The sequence below is a fragment of the Homo sapiens genome, chromosome 18, assembly GCF_000001405.40.
Source record: "Homo sapiens chromosome 18, GRCh38.p14 Primary Assembly".
Classification (NCBI taxonomy): domain Eukaryota; kingdom Metazoa; phylum Chordata; class Mammalia; order Primates; family Hominidae; genus Homo; species Homo sapiens.
Genome location: NC_000018.10, coordinates 48,357,395 through 48,378,020, shown reverse-complemented (window position 1 = coordinate 48,378,020; position 20,626 = coordinate 48,357,395). Strand labels below are relative to the sequence as shown.

At 45.5% G+C, this 20,626-nt stretch overlaps 1 protein-coding gene and 1 long non-coding RNA gene across 16 annotated transcripts in view; one reads left to right on the top strand and one right to left on the bottom strand.

Annotated features, from left to right (window-relative positions):
* The window catches only part of LOC124904353 (uncharacterized), a 30,633-nt gene extending 15,511 nt beyond the window's left edge, over window positions 1–15,122 (bottom strand). Inside the window, exon 1 of the long non-coding RNA XR_007066458.1 lies at window positions 15,051–15,122. This is a non-coding gene — a long non-coding RNA (uncharacterized LOC124904353). The remainder of the gene's footprint in view (window positions 1–15,050) is intronic.
* Window positions 1–20,626, top strand: part of ZBTB7C (zinc finger and BTB domain containing 7C) — a 385,914-nt gene that overhangs the window by 34,565 nt on the left and 330,723 nt on the right. For 2 of the 15 annotated variants that reach the window (NM_001371291.1, NM_001371290.1), the window contains exons 1-2: window positions 2,394–2,483; window positions 13,807–13,867. The exons of the other annotated variants lie outside the window; for them this stretch is intronic. The gene's annotated coding sequence lies outside the window, so the exon portion shown is untranslated. Of the gene's footprint in view, window positions 1–2,393; window positions 2,484–13,806; window positions 13,868–20,626 lie in introns of those variants that run through there. 15 annotated transcript variants of the gene reach the window in all.

Below are 20,626 nucleotides of genomic sequence, written 5' to 3'. Positions count from 1 at the left end.
TGCTGCCACGCCTGGCTAATTTTGTATTTTTAGTAGAGACAGGCTGGTCTTGAACTCCTGACCTCAGGTGATCTGCCCACCTCGGCCTCCCAAAGTTTTGGGATTACAGGCGTGAGCCACCGTGCCTGGCCCGACCTTTCTTATTTTACCTCTCTCCTTTTTACTCTTGCTTTCAAGAAGGATTGGTACCACCAATTTCTGAGCTGTTAAGAGGGTTTTGCAGTTTAAATGGGGGTGGTTCTCAGCTTCTTCCGCTGCTGACTTAGAATTCAGCTTTTTGGGATTTCTGAGCCATTTACCACTTGTCTATCTGATCTCCAGCTTCCAAAAGCGGTTATTACTTTGTTTCTTCTCCAGTTCTTCCCATTCTTGTGTATTTATGCTTAATTTTTAAATACTGTTGTTCTAAAAGGGTTTGGGGAGGAAGTAAAAGTAGTTGCAAATGTTTAGTCATATTTAATCAGCTTCTGTTCTGGTTGGGCCCAGTGTGGGCCTTAGCAGTTGTTGAAGATTTTGAATATTACCTCTGTCCAGACATGTTTTCTCTTATTTGTCCTTTAGGACCAGTTCAAATGTCACCTCCTCAGTAATGCTCTCTTGCTTCTCCCACCCCCTTCCCCAAGCAGAGTTAACTCTCTCCTGAGTTCACATAGACTTTGCATTTATTTCCCTCACTGCATTTTTTATGATAATTCGTACAGCTCTCTCCCTGTGTTAGATCAGGAGATTCTGGGGGCTACCTCTTGTTCATCTTTAGATCTCCAGCACCTGACCCAATACCCAGACTGGAGTAGACTCTTAAGAAATACTTGCAGCATGAACAAACAGAACAAAGTGGTCTGTGGAATGATGCTCTGTTGGGGGGTGGAGTGGGGTTGCCAGAGCATCGCCTCCCCCATCCTCTGGAACCTGCAGGAGGCCTGGTGTGGGGGCCCAGGCTGAGTCCCTGAGGGCTTGATCTCAGCCCTGCTTTCAGCCCCTGGATTCTTTCTGGGAACCCTCTTTCTCAGACCTTCTCCCTGAAGACCTTGTCCACGTACTTGAGTTTTTTGCCATTAGAAATATGGAGACTGTGGTGGGGATGGAGGTGTTACTACCTAACAATGTCTGCCCTCTTTGCGTTTCTGTGCACCAGAGGCAGAAGGCCCTGTTGGGCAGGAGACAGGCGAGAGGCTGAGGAGGAGGGTGTCATTACTCTCTAATTGATGCCTGGGGTAGCTCTCTTCCCTGAAGCAAGGCCCAGAGCATCAGCAGAATGACAACAGCATTTACAGAGTTTGGCCACCTGGCTGGACAGGCCTTACAGCCACAGGAAAGCAGGAAGCAAAGCCGCAAGGGGTTGTACACCCAGACTGCAGAGCCACTGCAGAGTGACAGCCTCCAGGCTGCAGGCCCTGGGGTCTGCCGTCCACCCCAGGCAGGAGGCTGCTCTCCAGAGCCCTGAGAGAGGAGGGGTGGGAGGGGACTGAGAATGTCACCGGCTGAGTGACAGTCCTGCTTCCAGCAATAGGGCCTGGCCATGGGCTGATTTTAGGCAACCGGAGACCTTCCCTTGGCCTCAGACATCGTGCCCCAAAACAGTAATTAACCAACTGCAGCTGAGTCACGTGGGAAGCTGGTTTTTCAAACGATCTGCTTCTTAGAGGGCATCTACACAGCGTGGCTGGAGAGGCCCGGAAAACCCTTCCTTCCGAATCATCTTTTCTGTCGCAGACTCTAGGGCTCTTTTGTACCCAACTTAGAAGTAGATGATTGTGTTAGGTTAAGATATTTAAAATGCGAATGGACATAAGAAGAACATATTAAACAAGTGTCAGTCACAACAACTTAATATGGATTAGTTTAAAATACTTATTTAACCATTAGAACTGGAAACAGTTCTTAGATTCAAAGTGTGGTCCCGGGACTAGCAGCATCCACATCACCTGGGAGCTGGTGAGGAAAGCAAATTCCCCAGTCCCACCCCAGAACTGCAGAAGCAGAAACTTTGGCCATCTGCATTTTACAAGCCTTCCAGGCAATTCTGATGCACACTACCATTTGAGAAACACTGCTCTTAAAGATTAGGAGACAGAAAAACACAGAGGGTAAATGACTTGCCTAAGGTCTCCAAGCTAGTAGTTGATGGCAGAATTGGGACCAGAAGCCAAGTCTTCAAGTTCCTAGTGTGTCATTTTCAAGTGACAACTGGTTGCCAGGATCCGAGAAGGAGTTCACATTTATGGAGAGCCCTCTCCATGCAAATCTCATAGCAGGAGCTTTGTCTCATTTAATCCTCACCACAATTCTGCAAATTATCTCCAGTTTGCAGAGGAGGAAGTTGAGGGTCAGTGTGGTTAAATAACTTGCCCAGACAGGACAGCATTTCAACCCAATCTCGCTTTTTCTCTGCCACTCCTACCTGCAATTGCTGTGTGTGTGTGTATGTGTACACACACAGAACATGAAGAACTACATCCAGAAGCTGCCCAGAAAGGATGCAGGTATGCTAAGTGGTCATGGCAACCTTCCGAAGGCTCTCTTCGCTTGAGGAGGCAGGGAACTGGAAGGTTTTCTTCCACCCACCAGCTTCCCAGTGTTGCTTCCAGTTTAGTCCTGACTTCAGTCTAGAGGGAGAGAGGGAGAGACCCACCCAGCTTTCCTTCCCACTGTGTGTCCAGCTTGGCCTGGGAATTGGGTTTCCTGGTCGATCTCATGCTTCCAGGAGTCCTTACTGCCCAAGGGAGAGCCAGAGCCTTGCCGAATGTGGCCAGCACACCAGGCGGGGAGAGACTGCGGGTGGGTTTCCCCCACATCTGGGTTGGGAAGTAGCTCTGCTTTGCAGTTAGAGCCCAAGGGCACAAAAGACTATAAGTAGGGTGGGTAGGGGGAGTGCACACAAGCAAAACAGAAGAGGAAATTAAAAGAGGCTCGAGTCTCCTTCTAGCTTCCTTCCAGCTTGTGTTGCTGCATTTTTGGCAGGGATTGGCAAAGCTGTCCTGTAACTTTCCAGTCTGCCTGCTCATTGTCTTGCCCAGAAATACCAGATAAAAGAAACCATGGAATGAGGAATGAGGAATGAAGAGCTTGGGTCCCACCCTCAGGATATTCCGCCAGTATGAACTCTCTTCCAGGCCAGCACCCTGCCGGCTGTCTGCCGGGGTCTAGCTGGCCTCACAGCTCTTGTGTCTGCTATGTGATGGGTGGTGGGAGAGGTGGGTACAGGGAAGGCATGTTTCCAAAGAACCATCACCACTGACCAGATGTCTGTCCCACTGCCTGTTTGTTGGCTAAAATCCCCCCATTAGCACCCATCCGTTGGGTCTTAGTGGCACTGTATTAAGGTAAAATACCCAAGGAAGAGTAATACCAGGCTGGTGAACACCTTATCAGATTTTGGTTAAACAGATAAGAGGCTCAGTGGAAATGAGCCAAGAACTCTGAGTGGAGGCTTCTGGGGAAGAGAGGGACCAAAAGAAAAGCAGGGAGAATGGCAGAGGCATCCTTGCCAGTGCTCAAAGCTGCATCACTTGGTGCTGGGAGGGACCCCAGAGATGAGGAAGAATGGACTGCCTCACCCAGGGGCATAGAGCCTACGGCAGACAGCCGGCCAGATCAGAATAGAGCTTTTTCTAGAGCCCAGTGGGATGATGGGTCATTTTGTTCCTCACCTCAAGCCTCTTCCTTTCATGAAGAGTTCCTGCAACTTGATGCCTCTCTCCTTCCAGAAGAGGTGGCCTTCTCCAGAAAGATTTTAAAGTGGGCTCTATTTGTGTGTTCGTAAACATCCTCTGATGGCTTCTAGGAACTGGACACTGAGGTGAGCTGTATGAGGCCATGCTTACATTGCTATAAAGAAATACCTGAGACTGGGTAAGTTATAAGAAAAGAGATTTAATTGGCTCACAGTTCTTCAGGCTGTACAGGAAGCATGGCACCAGCATCTGCTTCTGGGAAGGCCTCAGGAAGCTTTTACTCCTGGTGGAAGGCAAAGTGGTAGCAGGCACTTTTCACATGGTGAGAACAGGAGCAAGAGAGACAGAGTGGGAGGGAGGAGGTGCCACATGCTTTTTTTTTTTTTGAGACAGAGTCTTGCTCTGTTGCCCAGGCTGGAGTGCAGTGGCGCGATCTCAGCTCACTGCAAGCTCCACTTCCTGGGCTCACGCCATTCTCCTTCCTTAGCCCCCCGAGTAGCTGGGACTACAGGCCCCCGCCACCATGCCTGGCTAATTTTTGGTATTTTTAGTAGAGATGGGGTTTCACCGTGTTTACCAGGATGGTCTCGATCTCCTGACCTTGTGATCTGCCCGCCTTGACCTCCCAAAGTTCTGGGATTACAGGCGTGAGCCATAGTGCCCGGCCCACAGACTTTTAAATAACCAGATCTCATGTGAACTCAGAATGAGAGCTCACTTATCACCAAGGGGATGGTCCAAGCCATTTATGAAGAATCCGCCCCCATGATCCAAACAACTTCCACCAGGCTCAACCTCCAGCATGGGGATTACAATTCAACATGAGATTTGGGCAGGACAAATATCCAAACTATATCATTCTGCCCTGGCCTCTCTAAACTCTTGAAATATCTGAGACTGGGTAATTTATAAAGAAAAGAGGTTTAATTGGCTTATGGTTTTTCAGGCTTTACAGGAAGTATGGTGCTGGCATCTGCTCAGCTTCTAGGGAAGCATCAGGAAGTTTGCCATCATGGTGGAAGGTAAAGGAGGAGTAGGCACAAGCAGGAGCAAGAGGGGTCAGGAGGTGCCACACCTTTTAAATGACCAGATCTTGTGAGAACTCACTATCACAAAGACCGTACCAAGCCGTGAGGGATCCGCCCCCAAGATCAAATCCTCCCACCAGGCCCCACCTCCAGCATTGGGGATTACATTTCAACATGAGATTTGGATGGGGACAAATATCCAAACTATATCATGGGATCTGGGGAGATAAAGAGGAGGAAAACACTGTTCTTGCTTGTGCAGAGTTCACAATTTAGTGGGTAACACAGAAAAGTAAAACAAAAAAGCCACAATGCAGTGTGAAGGAATCTCTTGGAGCTCTTAGTGCCTCTGGTCAGGAGGAAAGGCCCCAGCATGTCCAGGGAGGGTTGGACATGGAGACATGTAAGCTGGGTATTGAGGAACGATTGCCAGTTTGCCAGACACATACAGGAGATGGGAGTAGGGAGAGGTAAGGGGATTCTATGTAGACGGGACCTCTCAGGTGGGAGGGGGCATGGTGCCTCCAGGACCTGCATATAGGGTAGAATCATGATTATTGACAGGGTGTGTTTAAGGAAGAGAAAGGGCCAGGAGACAGTCCAGAGAGGGAGGCTGGGCAGACCATTAACGGCCCTGACCATGGCCATGTTGAGGAGTTTGGCACTTGTCATATCCTGAGGGCAGTGGGGTGCCACTCTGAAGTTTTGTTAGTCAATCATTGCTAACTGTCCAGTAAGCAACTCCTAATGTTTTAATAGCTTAACCCACGTCAAGGTTTAATTTTACTTCTGTGAAGTCTGATGATTCCTCTAGAGTCACAATGGCAGGGAGGAGAAAGATGGAGAAGTCACATCAGCTTTTAACTCCCTCAGCGCGGAAGTGACACGGTTCCACTCATAGCCTATTGGCCAGAACTGGTCACATGGCCCTGCCTAACTGCAGAGGAGACTGGGAAATGTCAGGAGGCACATGCACACTTGCTGAGCACTGACTTTAGATTTTAGTCAGAAAAATAAGTAGTCTGATGTGTGATTTGGGATGTTCCTGTGGCAGTGGAGTATAGAATGAATTAGAGGGCTTCAAGCATAGAGGCAGGGAGGCCAGGCAGAGGCTCTTCCTATTGTCCAGTGAGGGCTCTTCCTGCTCCAAAATTCTTTTCAGACTGCAGCCAGGTGAGCACTGGGGCTTTGGAGAAGCCATAGCTGGCCATGGCAGTGAGGGAGGAGAGCAGCCCTGGGGTGAGGGGAGGTCAGTGAAGGGCCTGTTGACGTGTCAGACACAGGGTTATGGTTGCACCTGGGCAGAGCCGCTGGTGGATGTTATTGGCATCTTCAGAGTTCAGGATGGACCATGTCTCCTGGCCTCCAAGCCCCTGGCACTCAGTAGGTCCTCAGTTAACATGTGTGGAGTGAGTGATCAGCTGGCGATTGGAGCCATGGGTGCTGGAGGCAGGATGGAAACCTTTCTGGGAAACAGTGGTGATTAATGGCCTACCTTCCAGGGTAATGAAATCTCTGCAGTGTTCCTAATCTTCGCTACCACCTATTTGTGTCTTTTAGGAATAATGAAACCTGCCACATCAGAAGTACTTCTAGGGAGTTTCAGGGGAAGCTTTTGCTCATTAACGTCTGCATATCTGTGCTGGTTTTAATCTGGTGCCTGGCCATGCTCTCACTGAGCTCTGCCCCTGGCAATCATGTGGCATGGAAGTCCTCCTGCCCAGCTCCCACTCTCTTCCTGGTTATCCTGCCCATTGGCAGGCTCTTATGCCAGGCTAAGGGACAAATGTCCCAAAACCGGCAGCCAGGAGGAGGAGACTTGAGCTCTCGTTTAAATTTTGCTGCTAATTGTCTGAATGATCATGGGAAGTCATCCTGTGTCCCTGGGCCTCAATTTCCCTTTCTGTAAGTTGGGTGGGCATAGGCATTTTAAATGAGATGATCTTTAAGCTCGTTCCCAGCCCTGACATTTCCAGTTCCACAGGATGGAAACAAAATATCATGAGGGTCCAGCAGTCTTCAGAGCAGTATTTTTTCAGCTGGGGACAGAAACACCAGGAGGCTTATGAGGAGTTTCTAGAAGGTGGCCTGCAGCTTGATAGAGCTTGTCAGTTGTTCCTGGGGCTGCAGAAACTGTAGGTTTTGGGTATTGAGTGTAGGCTTCCTCCTCTCGCCTCTTCAGGAAATGAACCCCTTTGAGAGATAAGTGAAAGCTAGGTACTCTCTCTCCAGAAAAACTTGAGACATGCAGAGAATCACGTATCACACACCTACCCTTTTGTACACTTACTTTCAGGGGCTTCGTGTCCTTCCAGTAATGTGTCTTGAATCACCTCCTGCCTCGTGCCTGCTTTTCTCTCCTTTGTGGGTTCTGGATTTCTTTTACAAATTCAGTGATTGTTTCCATGGAAAGAATCACACTGTGGAAGATCCTGAAGAGGCCAAGTGAAAGATCTCAAAGGTGCTTTCTCTGACCTTACAGGAGACTGGATGAGGCCTCTCCAAAGAGAGACAGAAAATCACATCAGACTTAAAAATCAGTGCAAATTTATATGGTGACTGCTGAAGGCCTTCGTAGGCAGTGTGTGTGTGAGTTTGTATGTGCGTGTGTGTTGAGAGTGTTACCTTGATCGACACATCTTCTGGGAGGGATTTTTTTTTCATTAAGATTATTATTTTGCAATAATTGTAGATTTGCATGCAGTTGTACAAAAATAATACAGAGGGATTCTGTGTACTTTTAACCCAGTTTCCCCCAATGGCAATATCTTATGAAACTATAGTACAATATCACACCCAGGATATTGATGTAAATATAGTCAAGATGGAGAACATTTTCATCACTACAAGGATTCTCTCCTGTTGCCATTTTGTAGCTAACTGTTCCCCTCTTGCCCTCATTCCCTGCTTTACCCTGGAAACCTGTTCTTCATTTCTGTAATTTTGTCATCTCAAGAATATTATATAAATGGAATCATATAATACTTATGTAATCCTTTCAGATTGGATTTTTTTTCACTCAGCATAATTCCCTGAAGATTCGTCTGGGTTGATGCATGTATCAATAGTTTGTTCTTTTTTATTGCTAAGTAGTATTCCATGGTATGTAGGTGCCACAGTTTGTTTAACCATTCACTTGTTGAAGGGCATCTGGATTCCTCTTTGGCCCATGGATTGTTCAGAAGTATGTTGCTTTGGTTCTAAGTATTTGGAAGTTTTACTCTTATCTTGCTGTTATTCATTTCCAGTTGATTCATTCCACTGAAGCCTGAGAACACACTGTATAATTTTAATTTTTTTCAATTCGTTGAGGTTTGTTTTATGGCCCAGGATATGATCTGTCTTGGTATACATCCTGGGGCCACCTGAGAATAATGCATATTCTGCTGTTGTTGGGTTGAGTGTTCTGTAAATGTTGATTAGATTCTATTGGTTGATGGTGTTGTTGGGTTATTCTGTATGCTTGCTGATTGTCTAGTTGTTTTATTAATTGTTGTGAGAGTAGTATTGAACTCTGAACGTGTAATTGTGGATTTGTGGATTTCTCTTTTTAGTTCTTTTGGGTTTTGCTTCACATATTTTGCAACTCTATTGTTTGGTACATATACATTTACAATTGCTATATATTCTGGTGGATTGACCATTTTATCATTATACAATATCCCTCTCTGTCTCTGGTAACTTTCTTTGCTCTGAAGTCTATTTTATCTCATATTGATATAACCACTTCTATTTTCTTTTAATGTTTGCATGACATATCTTTTTCTTCATCCTTTTACTTGTAACCTGCCTATATTGTTATTTTTAAAGTGAATTTTTTGTAGACAGAGTCATGTTTTTAAATTGGTATCTTTAGATCATTTACATGTACTATAATTATTGATATGTTAGGGCTTAAGTATGCAATTTAATTTTTTTATCTATTCTCTCTGTCTTTCATTTCTGTTTTCTTTTTCTTGCCTTTTATAGGTTACTTAAACATTTTTTAGAATTCTACTTTGATTTATGTATATATTTTTTAGTTTATTTTTGTATAATTTTTTAGTAGATACTCTACATATTACATTATGTGTACATTATCACAGTCTACTGGTGTCATGATTTTACCAACTTGAGTAAGTGTAGAAACCTTATTGCCTCTTATATTTCTTTACCCTCCCCCACTTACAATGTAATTGTCTTAAATGTTTGTTCTACATACATTTAGAACCACATCAGACAATATTATGATTTTTGCTTCAACTGTCAAATATAATTTAGAAACTCAAGAGGAGAAAGAAAGTCTATTGTGTTTGCCTATGCTCTTGCTTACTGTGTTTCTTCCCTCCTCTTGTCCTAAGGTACCTCTTTTATCTTTCTCTTTGGTTTAAAGACCTTACCTTAGCCGTTTTTCTCCAGGGGATGGGGAGAGAAGTGAGTCTGTTGGTGACAGATTATCTTAGTTTTCCTTTATCTCAGAATAACTTGATTTTCCCTTCATTCCAGAAGGGTCTTTTCACTGGAAATAGGATTTCTTTTCACACTTGAAAAATGTGCTGCTTCCTTTTCATCTCCATGGTTTCTGATGAGAAACCTGCTGTCCTCCTAATTGTTTTTCCCCTAATAGGTAAGATTTTATTTCTCTCTGAACGTTTTCAAGACTTTTTGTTCCTCTTTAATTTTCAGAAGTTTGACTGTGACATGTCTTGGCATGGGATTTCTTTAAGTTTGTTATGTCTGAGATTTTCTCAGCTTCTTGAATCTGTAGGTTTATCTTTTTCCAAATTTGGAGGTTTTCTACTATTGAGCACCTTTTCAGCTCTACCCGTTTTCTCCTTTTCTTCTGAGACTCCAGTGACAGAAATGTTAGAACTTCTGTTATAGTACCACAGGTCCCTGAGGCTTTTATTTCCCCTAGTCTATTTTCATTTTTCAGATTGAGTAACTTTTTTTTTCTATCTATCAGTTACTGATTCTTTCCTCTGTCTCCTCTATTTGGCTATCGAGCTCATCATTGAGTTTTGTGTTTTGGTTATTGCATTGTTTGGTTCTGAAGTTTCCATTTGGTTCTTTATATTTGATTTTTTTTTTTTTTTTGCTAGGCTTTCTTCCTTTTCATTGGTTGCAACAGGTTCAGAGTTGCTGGCTTAAGCATTTTTTTGTGATGCCTACTTTAATATCTTTGTCAGATAATTCTAACATGTCTGTCATCTTGGAGTTGGCATCTATTGGTTGCCTCTGCTCATTCAGTTTGGGATCTCCCTGGTTCTTGGTATGATAAGTAATTTTTGATTGAAACCTGGAGATTTTTGGTATTGTGTTTTGAGGCTGTGTACTGTACTTAAACCTGCTTTAGCTTTTTTTTTTTTTCTCCTCCAGTGGAGGGCTGGGGGCACCATGTTATTACTGCCAGGTGAGGGTTGACGTCCAGGTTTCCCACTCTCCCTCCATGGATACCTTCCTGGAAGGAGTTGGAGTGCCTCATTACAACTCCCCATGTGACCCCCACTGACACCACACGGGGTTGGGGGTTGGGGTAGTCTCCTTACTGCTGAGCGTTAGCAAACATCCTGACTCTATTAGGCCTCCTCTGACACCATCCCAGCAGGGAGTGCTGGGTTGGAGTGGAAGTCTAGGCTCCCCATGTGGCCTTTGCTGACATGGGGAGGGTGGGCCGCAGTGTTTCCTGGGCTGTTTGGCTGAATAGAGCAGTTATTGTCCAACAGATTCATCTTTTTAGGCTGCCTCTTTCCTAGTTATTTGGCTGGAGAGAGCAGGCTTTTGTTAGGCTTTTCTTGTCTGTGCGCATTGATATTTCCAGGTTGCTGGCTTCTTCATCTCCAAGTCTGGGATAAATGAGACCAAAAGAAGACTCAGAAAACTCACCATCCTGCTGTCTCCCAGGTCACATGATCCCTAGCCAATAGTGTTCTTCTTGTTACCTTTTAGAGTCTTCTGTTTGTATTTTATATATATATATATATATATATATGCACACATATATGTATATATATACACACATATATGTATCTATACATATATGTATAGATACATATTTACATATACATATACATATATACTATATATGTGTGTGTGTGTGTATGTATGTGTGTGTGTGTGTGTGTGTGTGTGTGTGTATATATATATATATATATATATATATAAAACTTGGGGAGAAGAACAGGGGAAAGCATGTCTACTTCATCTTCCCAGAAGGGGAAGCCCTCTCTACTTCCTTTTCTTTATTATTTTTTAAAATTGCTGAAGATGTCATAAATACCCTTGGAAAAATTTATATAGTACAAAAGGAATAGAGCAGTGAAAAGTGTCCTTTCCACTCCTGTGTAGGGGCAGTAGTCACATGGTTCCTTTAGCAGAGGCAGTCTCTGTCACCAGTGCGGTGTGTCCTTCTCAAGAGAGTCCATGTGTATATTCACATATGTAAGCATGCACATGTATGTGTATGTGTGCCCTTTCACATATATGGTAGTGGCACTGATTTAAACTTCACCAGCTGTAGATAAGAATTGTTATACACTCGCTGGTTTAGAAAGCACTTAAATTTATTGATATTTGCCAACCTGATATATGAAAACTGGATCTTCTTGTAGTCTTAATTTCTTGCATTGTTTGAGCACGAGCACCATTTCAAATGTTGAAAATGCATTTATGTTTCCTGTTTTGTAGATGGACAATTTCTTCTTTATTTTACATTTCCCTTTTGGGTTGCTGGCCTTTCTTATGGACTTGTACGTGTTTGTAAATGCACAATAATTACGTAGCAAGGAAATTAGTCCACTGCGTGCCATGTATGTTGCAAATATTTTTTCCTATTTTGTCATTTATCTTTTGGCTTTACTTTATTTTCTAGTGTTGTATATTTTAAAATTATTGAACTCAGATGTAGCCCTTTATTAAAAAATGATATCTGGGCTTTGGTCATGTTTTGAAAGTCATTCCTACCTGAATATTACAGCTAGTCTTTCACATTTTTCTTCTAGTTCTTTCTATAGTTTCATTTTTTGTTTAGGTCTTTCATACATGTCATCCAAACTTTTTTCAGATAATTCCTGAGTTGTCTCAACACAATTAGTTGAAAAGTCTATCTTTCCCCCACTGGTTTGAAATGTCACCTTGATTTATTATGGGTCTTCTCTGTGTGGCTGCTAATCTGCCTTGTCAGCAAATTGCAGATGGCAGCTGGTGGCCTGGGTAGGCTGCATTGAGGTAATCTCAGAGCCATCTATAAGGGAAGGTACACTTTTAGAGAGGAATAAGGTGGAAGGATATCAGTTTCTCCACCTCTTAGACTGCTGTGTGATATAATCTCATGAAAATTTATTGAACCTGTTTCAGGGACATTGGCCAACAGTCTTGCCCCCTGATAATAGGAAGCCCCTCTGACTGCCCCTCCATGAACCTGCAGGCCCTGCCCTCTACTAAAATATCTCCTACATCTTCTCCCTTATCCCTGTTACCATTTTCTGCCCCTGTTCACTTCAGGTTTTCACTATTATGGCCTAGTTTTTGAGCACCCTCCTAAATGTTTGTTTTTGTTATCCATGGCTGCCTAACGAATTGCCACAAATGTAGCTGCTTGAACTAATACATTTGTTATCTCAGAGAGTTATTTTTTTTTTCTGTGGGCTAGGAGTCTCTGCATGGCATAGTTGGGTCCCATGCTTTAGGGTTCCTTATAAGACTGCAATCCAGGTGTCAGCCTGGGCTGGGTTCTCATCTGGAGGCCCAAGTGGGGAAGGATCCACTTTTCTATTCTCATGGTTATTGGCGACATTCAGTTCCTATAGCCGTAGGATTCATGGCAGCTTGCTTCTTCAAAGCCAGAAAGGGAGATAGAGAGTCTGTAGTGCCACTCTACTAGCCAGACAGAGTCTTATATAATATGACATAATCACAGAGTGACATCCCATTACCTTTGCTATATTGTATTGGAAGTCATTCACAGGTCTCATTCACACTCAAAGGACAGAATTTATCAAAGGTATGTTCCCCAGGATGCTATCTGGCAGTATCTGTCAAAATTGCCAGTGTATATACCCTTTGACCCAGACTTTATCCCAGATCTGTACTTCCACATGAGTGAAATAATGAAAGCACCAGTGTAATCCCTGCAGAACTGTTTGAAACAGTAAAAGATTGAAAACAACCAAAATGGTGGGGATGGATTAAACACATCACTGTATATGCAAATGATGGACTACTACACAGCCATGAAGATGAATAACTGTAGCTCCTTGTAAATCCATGTAGCATGATCTATATCAGGGTTCTCAAAGTGTGGTTCCTGGACCAGCAGTACCAGCATCACATGGGAACTTGTTGAGAATGCACATTCTCAGGCCCCACTCTAGCCCTGCTGAATCAGAGATTTTGGAGTGGGGCCCAGCAAACTGTGTTTAGTAAGCTGGCCAGGTAATTCTGATACATGCTCCATTTTGAAAACTTTGGGTTTATAATTTATATAATTAAACGGAAAAAGGCAGAACAATGTATTACATATGGTATGCTACCATTTGTGCACAAAAGGTAAAAGGTGTATACATACTTCTGTTTGCATACAATACCTCTGGAAGGATATACAAGAAATGGAAATAGGAAAGCTAGGGGATAGGGATGGCAGGATGACTTTTCACTGTATCCTTTTGTGTCTTCTGAATTTGAACCATTTAATGTATTACTTATTTTAAAAATTAAAATGCAAAAGCCCCATCAATCTGACCTCAGCCTTCCTCATTAGCTTTTTTCCTCACCTCCTATACGGCCTCTTCATGCCAGTCAAACTGGTCTCTTCAGTGTCTCTGGGATTTGGGTCACATTTCTCGACCACAAGCCTTTGCTTAATTCTGTGCTCCCATCTGGAATTTCCTGTACTCTTTGCATAATCAAAGCCCACTCACCCTCAAAGGTCAGGCCCAAATGCTGCCTCCTGTGGGTGGATTTTCCTGATCCTCTCTCTGCATGGGTGAACCAGCCCTTCTTTGCTCCCGCAGCCTGTCCCTCTGCTGTGACCCACCGTTCCTTTGCTCGCTGTGCGTCTGTGTTCTTTATTGGACTGTCAGCTCTCTGAGGGCAGGGACTTAACCTTCCATTCTTTGTGTCTCCAGCACCCCCTGCAACCTGCAATTTGGCACCTTGGAATCTTTTAATAAATAACCAAGGAGACAAGTGAGTATTGGGCACAAAGACAGGGATATGAGGACACAAGGGGGCCTAGACAGGAACCAATGTGAGAGTGGTCATTGCCCCAGAGGAGAATGAATGGTCAGGCAAGGTGGGGAAAGCCTGCAGGAGAAGCTGCTGGCAGCTGGGCTTTCTCCTGGGTGGGTCTGGTTTTGGGCCATCATTGGTGCCCTGAGGGGTGGAGTGGGTATGGGAGGGTACCCTTCATCTGGGAGGCTGTGGGGTTTTGTTTTATTAAGGGGGAGAGAGTTTTTTAAAAAGACAGATGTGCTTTGTGTTGGTGGGGTAAGATTGAGGGGTGGGATGTTTAAAAAGACATCACGTAGGCTGGCAGAAGGGCAGGTTGCCCTACCAGTGAGGTTTTTCTGATTAAAACCAAGTCAGGGGTAAAGCTGTGTTTTAATATTAAAAAGAATACACCCCCAATGGCCACGCTGTCCCTAACCTCCCTCCATCTCGGGAAAGCATCTGACATTTCCTGCACATTTTAACTTTCTAACCAAATAATGAAATAATCATATTGGCTCCTCAGTCACAGGATTCATTTTATCTCTTTCCTGGGCTTCAAAATTCATCTCATATTTTAATCTGTTTTGAGCTCTTTTCAATTGCCTTGGAGATAGAGCCAAAGGTTCCTTGAACTCATGTTGCCGAGAGTTGTTTGGTTTAGGTTCCTGTGGGGTATTTTCTTTAATAACATGGTCTATCCTGCAGCAGCAGCAGGAATTCTAGGTGGGTGGGGGCTGGGGCTGGGCCTTGCACTTCATGGCTCCCTGACAGTAAATTAATGTCCACATTCCAACTCCGGGACTTCTCATTTTCTGGCTTCCTCCTAGATAGTGGCCTCCCTTCTCAATTGTATTCATTCTTAAAAGGCCACCCTCCTATAGAAACACTCTCCAAACTGCTCTAGGCAGGAGGGTCCCTCCCTCCCGAGCAGCAAGAACACAAAAACCTCAACAGCAATAGCACTAGCCTTAGTGAGCCTCAGTATCTTTCAGGTGCGTTCTAAGCACTTTACATGGATTAATTCATTCGATCCCACACTGCCCTCTAAGGTTCTGGCATTCCTGTCCCCATTGTTTTGAAGAGGATGTTGAGGTAAAGAGAGACTAAATAACTTCCCCAAGAGCTGGAATGCATCTAAGATTAGCTTCGTCCAGTTTACCTGTTTGCTGTGTGCGTGTCATGTTTCCCAGCTGGACAGTGGGCCCTCAGGTGCAGCGGCCACACCTTCTTGGCACAGCTTAGGTTCTCAGTTGTGTCCTGGTAAATATTTGTGGGTCGTTGAAGCCCCTTGTCTCACAACAGACCATAGAAGGTGCTAGTTTAGAGTAGGAGGTAAGGAACTCCTGTACCTTCTTCGAGCCAAAAGGCTGGTTTTGGGGGTGTGTGGAGTTACCTTAGAACTAACCCATGCGTCTTGTTTTAGAAAACGAAAAAGGGCCACAGCAATGCAGGTGACAAGGACTCCCCCAGGGAGGCTTTGTCTTTGCCAGTTTAGGCTGCTATAATAAAATGCCATAAACTAGGGAGCTTATAAACAGCAGAAACTGATTGTTCATGGCTCTGCAGGCTGGGAAGTCCAATACCAAGGCAGATTGGGTGTCTGGTGAGGGCCTGCTTTTTGGTTCAGAGAATGGCACCTTCTAGCTGTGCCCTTACACATGGAAAGGGATAACTCTGGTCTCTTCAGCCCATTATAAGGGCACTAGTCCCATTCATGAAAGCTCCACCTTCGTGACCTAATCACCTCCCAAAGGCCCCACCTCCTCACACCATCACATTGGAAATTAGGTTTCAACATAGGAATTCTGGGGAGACAGACACAAACGTTCAGACCATGGGAAGCATGAAACCATGTTTGCTTTGAGTTTGTTGGGGAGAAAAGGGACTGTCAGCTCACTGACAGATGCCCAGCTGCAGGAAGGCCTTGGCAACTGAAAGGGACCTGAGATAGCTCTGTCCCAGGGGCTCTGCTCTGTCAGTGAGGTCTTGTCCTCCAGTTGACTGCCTATAAAGATGGCCACACTTGGGGCTGGAGTTCCATGTCTTCGAGCCTCAGTCACTTCATCTGCTAGGAGACATGCCCAAGCCTGCCTTCCCTGTGATGGAGCTGTTGGGAAGGTGGAATGGGAGCTCACCTGAGAGAGGCACATGCTCCCTGGCAGGTAACGCTGGAGTTACACGAGGGGAGGCAGTTCCCCTCATTGTCTCCTCCTGCCGTGCTGGCTGGAGGGCTGTGTGTCTGACCACACTTGCTGAATCTGCACAGCTTCTGTTCCTTCCTCTCCCTGGCTTATCCCATGAACCTTCAGGGATTGTCTTTTCCTCCACCTCGGGCTTCTGAGTCCTCTCTGAGCAGCCGAATGCCCTGGATGCCTCTGATGTTTAGGCCCTAGCCCCAGAGATTCTGATCCCATGGGCTGGTGTGCAGCCTGGGCTTGATATTTCTTTAAAGGTTTCCCAAGGGATTCCAGTGTGCCCTGGGGTTGAGACCCACTGCCCTCTCAACAGGGCATCAGGGGAGAGAGGAGAGAAGACCCATCAGAATTTCCAGAGCAGCATATGTACCTAGGAGGACATTTAGGAAGCATGTTTATTAGATGCCATGATATGTTTTAGGCCTGATCCTGGGTATATTTGGCAATGTCAAATAAAAGAGTGCATTAGATTTCTATGTTTAGCAAAAGACTATACGGAAGAATCAACACGAGCCTCCTCTGGGCTCTGAGACTCTGTGATGGGGCTGTGTAACTCTGGGGCTGCTACCTACCCTCTCTGAACTCAGCTTCCTCGTCTGTCAAACTGGAATATTAGTGCCTGTCTTATAGGATCATTGTGAGGAAGAAGTGAAATCATGAATAAAAACATTTTGAGAAGCCAAGATTTCCACACAAATGAAAATATTGCATAAAGCGGTTGTGTTCTGTATTCTGTCACCTGTGACTCTCTGGACACCAAGCCTTGTGAATTTGGCCTGACGCAGGGAGATGAGATGTTCGTAGTCCTGGGTCTCCTGCCCAGGCTACCCCACCATGCTCATTGCAGACCTTGGCCATCCTGGTACCACTAACCAGCCTTCCTCCCTCCCTAGCCTCTATCTTCAAATTCCATCTCCCTCCACTGGCATCTTCCCCTCAGAACAGAAACACACTCATCATACCCCCAGGAAAAACAAAACACACCTGTGACCCTTGGATGCCCTAGCTTTCATCTTTCTGCCTTTGCCTAACAACCAGCTTTCAGGGACACATAACCCACAAGGAGACCTCCCTTTCCTCACCCTTCCGCCAGCGACCCACCACCACCAGCTGCTGCATCTTATCTACCTGGGGTCTCTGCCACATGCCTCCTTCATGACACTCTCCTTCCTCGGGCTCCTCCACACTCTTCCTTCCCCTCACACTCACCCCTGCCTTTGGCTGGTCACTTGGTCTAGGGATTCCACTAGACCACTCAAACCTGCAGGCTCCCCTCAGTGCCCGTCACTATTTTGGTTCAGTCCCTCGTCTCTCACCTGGGCTACTCATCAGCCCCTTACCGTGTTCTCTCCCTCCCCTGGCTCCTTCTGTCCTCCTGGGTCAAGTCCAATTCAAAGCCCCTAGTACTCTGGCCCTGGCCCGCCTGCCTAGGGGCATCTCTTCCCACGCTCCTCTCATACTTGCATTCATTCCTCAAATCTGTCGTGGCATGTCATGGCTCTGTGATTTTTCACATGCCATAAGTTTCCCCTAAAATCCCCCATGCCTACCACCATCCCAACCTCATATTTGAGAAATATTCATTGTCTAAATCCCAGCTCAACTGTTGACTCTGCAGGAGTCTCCTCTAACTCCTCTGCTCTGTCCGCAGTTCGGTTACGCATTTTCTCTTCCATGCTATTGCTCTCAAGTCTGAAGTGCAAGGAGGTGCAAATGTTTATAGAATTGAATTGAATTGGTCCATTTAGTGTCATATTGTTGTAGTATTCCAGTGCTTGCAAATGCAAAGTAGTTATTCTCGCAGGGGATCTACTGCTAATTCACAGATAGTGAGAGTCAACATTTCCAGACTGGCCACGTTCTGACCTCAGCAGACAGCAGGGAGCTTCCTCCCTGAAGGGTCTATTCATGAACAATTCTAGATTCAAACACATCCAAGAATGCTTTGGCTGGGCCTATGGAAGCAACCAGAACAACTGCAGCTCTGAGACACAGGGAAACCCCAATGTGCTGTATGCTTTTCTGGAGACTTTTCCCGAGTCAAAAATCTCCCAAGTCCCCACAGATGTTAAGCACCCCTAGAAGGGCAGGGGTCTCTAGCCTCTCGCTTCCCCTCCTCCCTTCTGCACTGCCCTCCCAGAGCCCTGGCCTCAGCACAAATGACATCTTGTTCCTCTTTTGCACCATCCATGGCTTCCTTTCCAAGTTCTCTCTCACTCTTCTCTCTTTGGGCAAAAGGAAAAGGACAGCCTGTTACAGTCACAAAGTGACATCGCAGAACTAACACCACCAGCTTTTGATGGGCTTTCAAGGGGCCATTCTTGCAGGGCAGGCCTTCTCTGGCCTCCTTTCGTATGCTTGATCTGTTGGAAGGTCCAGCAGCTGTCAAACTCATTCTTGAAATTTTCCTTCGTACATCTGGCCTGTCTGTCTCACTGTCATGGTGGCATTGTACCTGTCATGTTGCCATTACTATAAAAACTTTGTTATATTTTATATTAGAGTGTTGTTATGTATTATAAGATTGCTGTGTTACATATTATAATAGTGTTCCCTGTCATTTTCTTTGAAAGTCATGTTTTGATCATCTTCATAGTTTCCTCTTTCTAGACCTGCTCTGAAAGCTTTCCTTCACCCTAGGGTGAAAAATGACACAGAGAAAAAATTTCTCCTTCTCATGGGGGATGGAGGAAGGCCAGGCCCCAGTTCTGGGTGGCTGTGCGTGTGAGTTCATGGGGGTGATGGCCACCAGCTAGTTCTCTTGTCATCTGGCCCTTGGCAGGATTATCCTTCCTGTGCCCTTTGTTGGGGGCTGGGGTCACAGGATGTACTCCGGGCAGTAAGTTGTGAGTGAAGTATGGGTTTCACTTCCAGGTCAGAGCATCTTGTTGCCAGTACAAGGCCCTCCAGAGCTCACAGGACAGCAGGAAGCATTGGAGACAGGGGCTACTGCATCAGCCTAAACCTTGAGTGATTCCAACAGGAAGGCCCCTGTGGACCTGTGATCAACACCAGCCAGGCATAAGGGAGGAGGAAACCGGGACTAGTTTTTAATAGCTTTATTGAGATAAAATTCATGCCTCTCATTTATTGAGATAAAGTTCATCCCTCTAAGTGTACAGTGCAATGTTTTTTAGTATATTCACAGGCTTGTCACCACTCTCTAATTTTAAAACATTTGCATCACTCCAGAAAGAAGCCCTATATTTATTAGCATAAACCCTCAGTGTTCTCAGCTACTGCAATTTGGGAGTTGTTTGTTGTTACTGCAGCATGGCCCAGCCTATCCTGACTGGCACAGAAATCAATTCCATGCCTGCAAGAGTTGTGCTGCTGTGTTAGGCCGTTTTTGCGTTGCTATAAAGAAATACCTGAGGCTGGGTAATTAATAAAGAAAAGAGGGTTTGATTGACTCACAGTTCTGCCAACTGTACAAGCCTGGCTCCAGCATCTGCTTCTGGTGAGGCCTCAGGAAGCTTCCAATCATGGTGGAAAGCAAAGGGAGAGCAGGCAGTGTCACAGGGTGAGAGTGGGAGCAAGAGAGACAGGGCAGAGGTGTCACATACTTTTTCTTTATTTTTTTGAAGTGGAGTCTCGTTCAGTCACCCAGGCTGGAGTGCAGTGGCATGATCTCAGCCCATTGCAACCTCCACCTCCCAGGTTCAAGCAATTCTCCTGCCTCAGCCACCCAAGTAGCTGGGATTACAGGTGCCCGCCACCATGTCTGGCTAATTTTTGTATTTTTAGTGGAGACGGGGTTTCACCATTGTTGGCCAGGCTGTTCTCGAACTCCTGACCTCAACTGATCCACCCGCCTCGGCCTCCCAAAATGTTGGGATTACAGGTTTGAGCTACTGCATCCGGTCCCTACCACACACTTTTAAACAACCAGATCTCACATGAACTCAGAGCAATAACTCACTTATCACCAAGGGGATGGCACTAAGCCATTCATGCGGGATCTGCCCTTGTGATCCAAGCACTCTCACCAGCCCTCACCTCCAACGCTGGGGATTACATGTCAACATGAGATTTGGAGGGGACAAGCATCCAAACTTTATCCGCTGTGTAACAAAAACTTCTACTCTGTGCCGTTAGTTTAGGCTAAATTTGGAGATGAAAAAGCTGGATTGAGGAGAAGAATTAGTGGACATGTCCTATGAGCATGAAATCCACTTTTGTTGTCTCAGGCCACTGAAATTTTGGGGTGTTTGTTATTACCAGTCTACATGACTGGCTGGAGGAGGTGGGAGGCCCTGGTCAGGGTTGGGTGGGGCAAAGTTCAAATACTAGTGAGACCTTCCAGGAGTTCCCCAAAGCTCCTCACCTTGGCAGTCACCGACTGTGCTGCTGGGGAAAGGCAAATTGAGGAGTCCTACACTGCCCGGGGCACCTGGGGAGAATTCCTGGGCCCTCCAGCACCTAAACGACGCTGAGCGCTGAGCAGGCTTGTTTACTCCTCGGAGCTCTTCTTTGTCTCTGTTTCATTGTCACCTTTCCTATGTGTCAGGGAAGGGCTCCTGGGAGGGAGAGGTGAGGA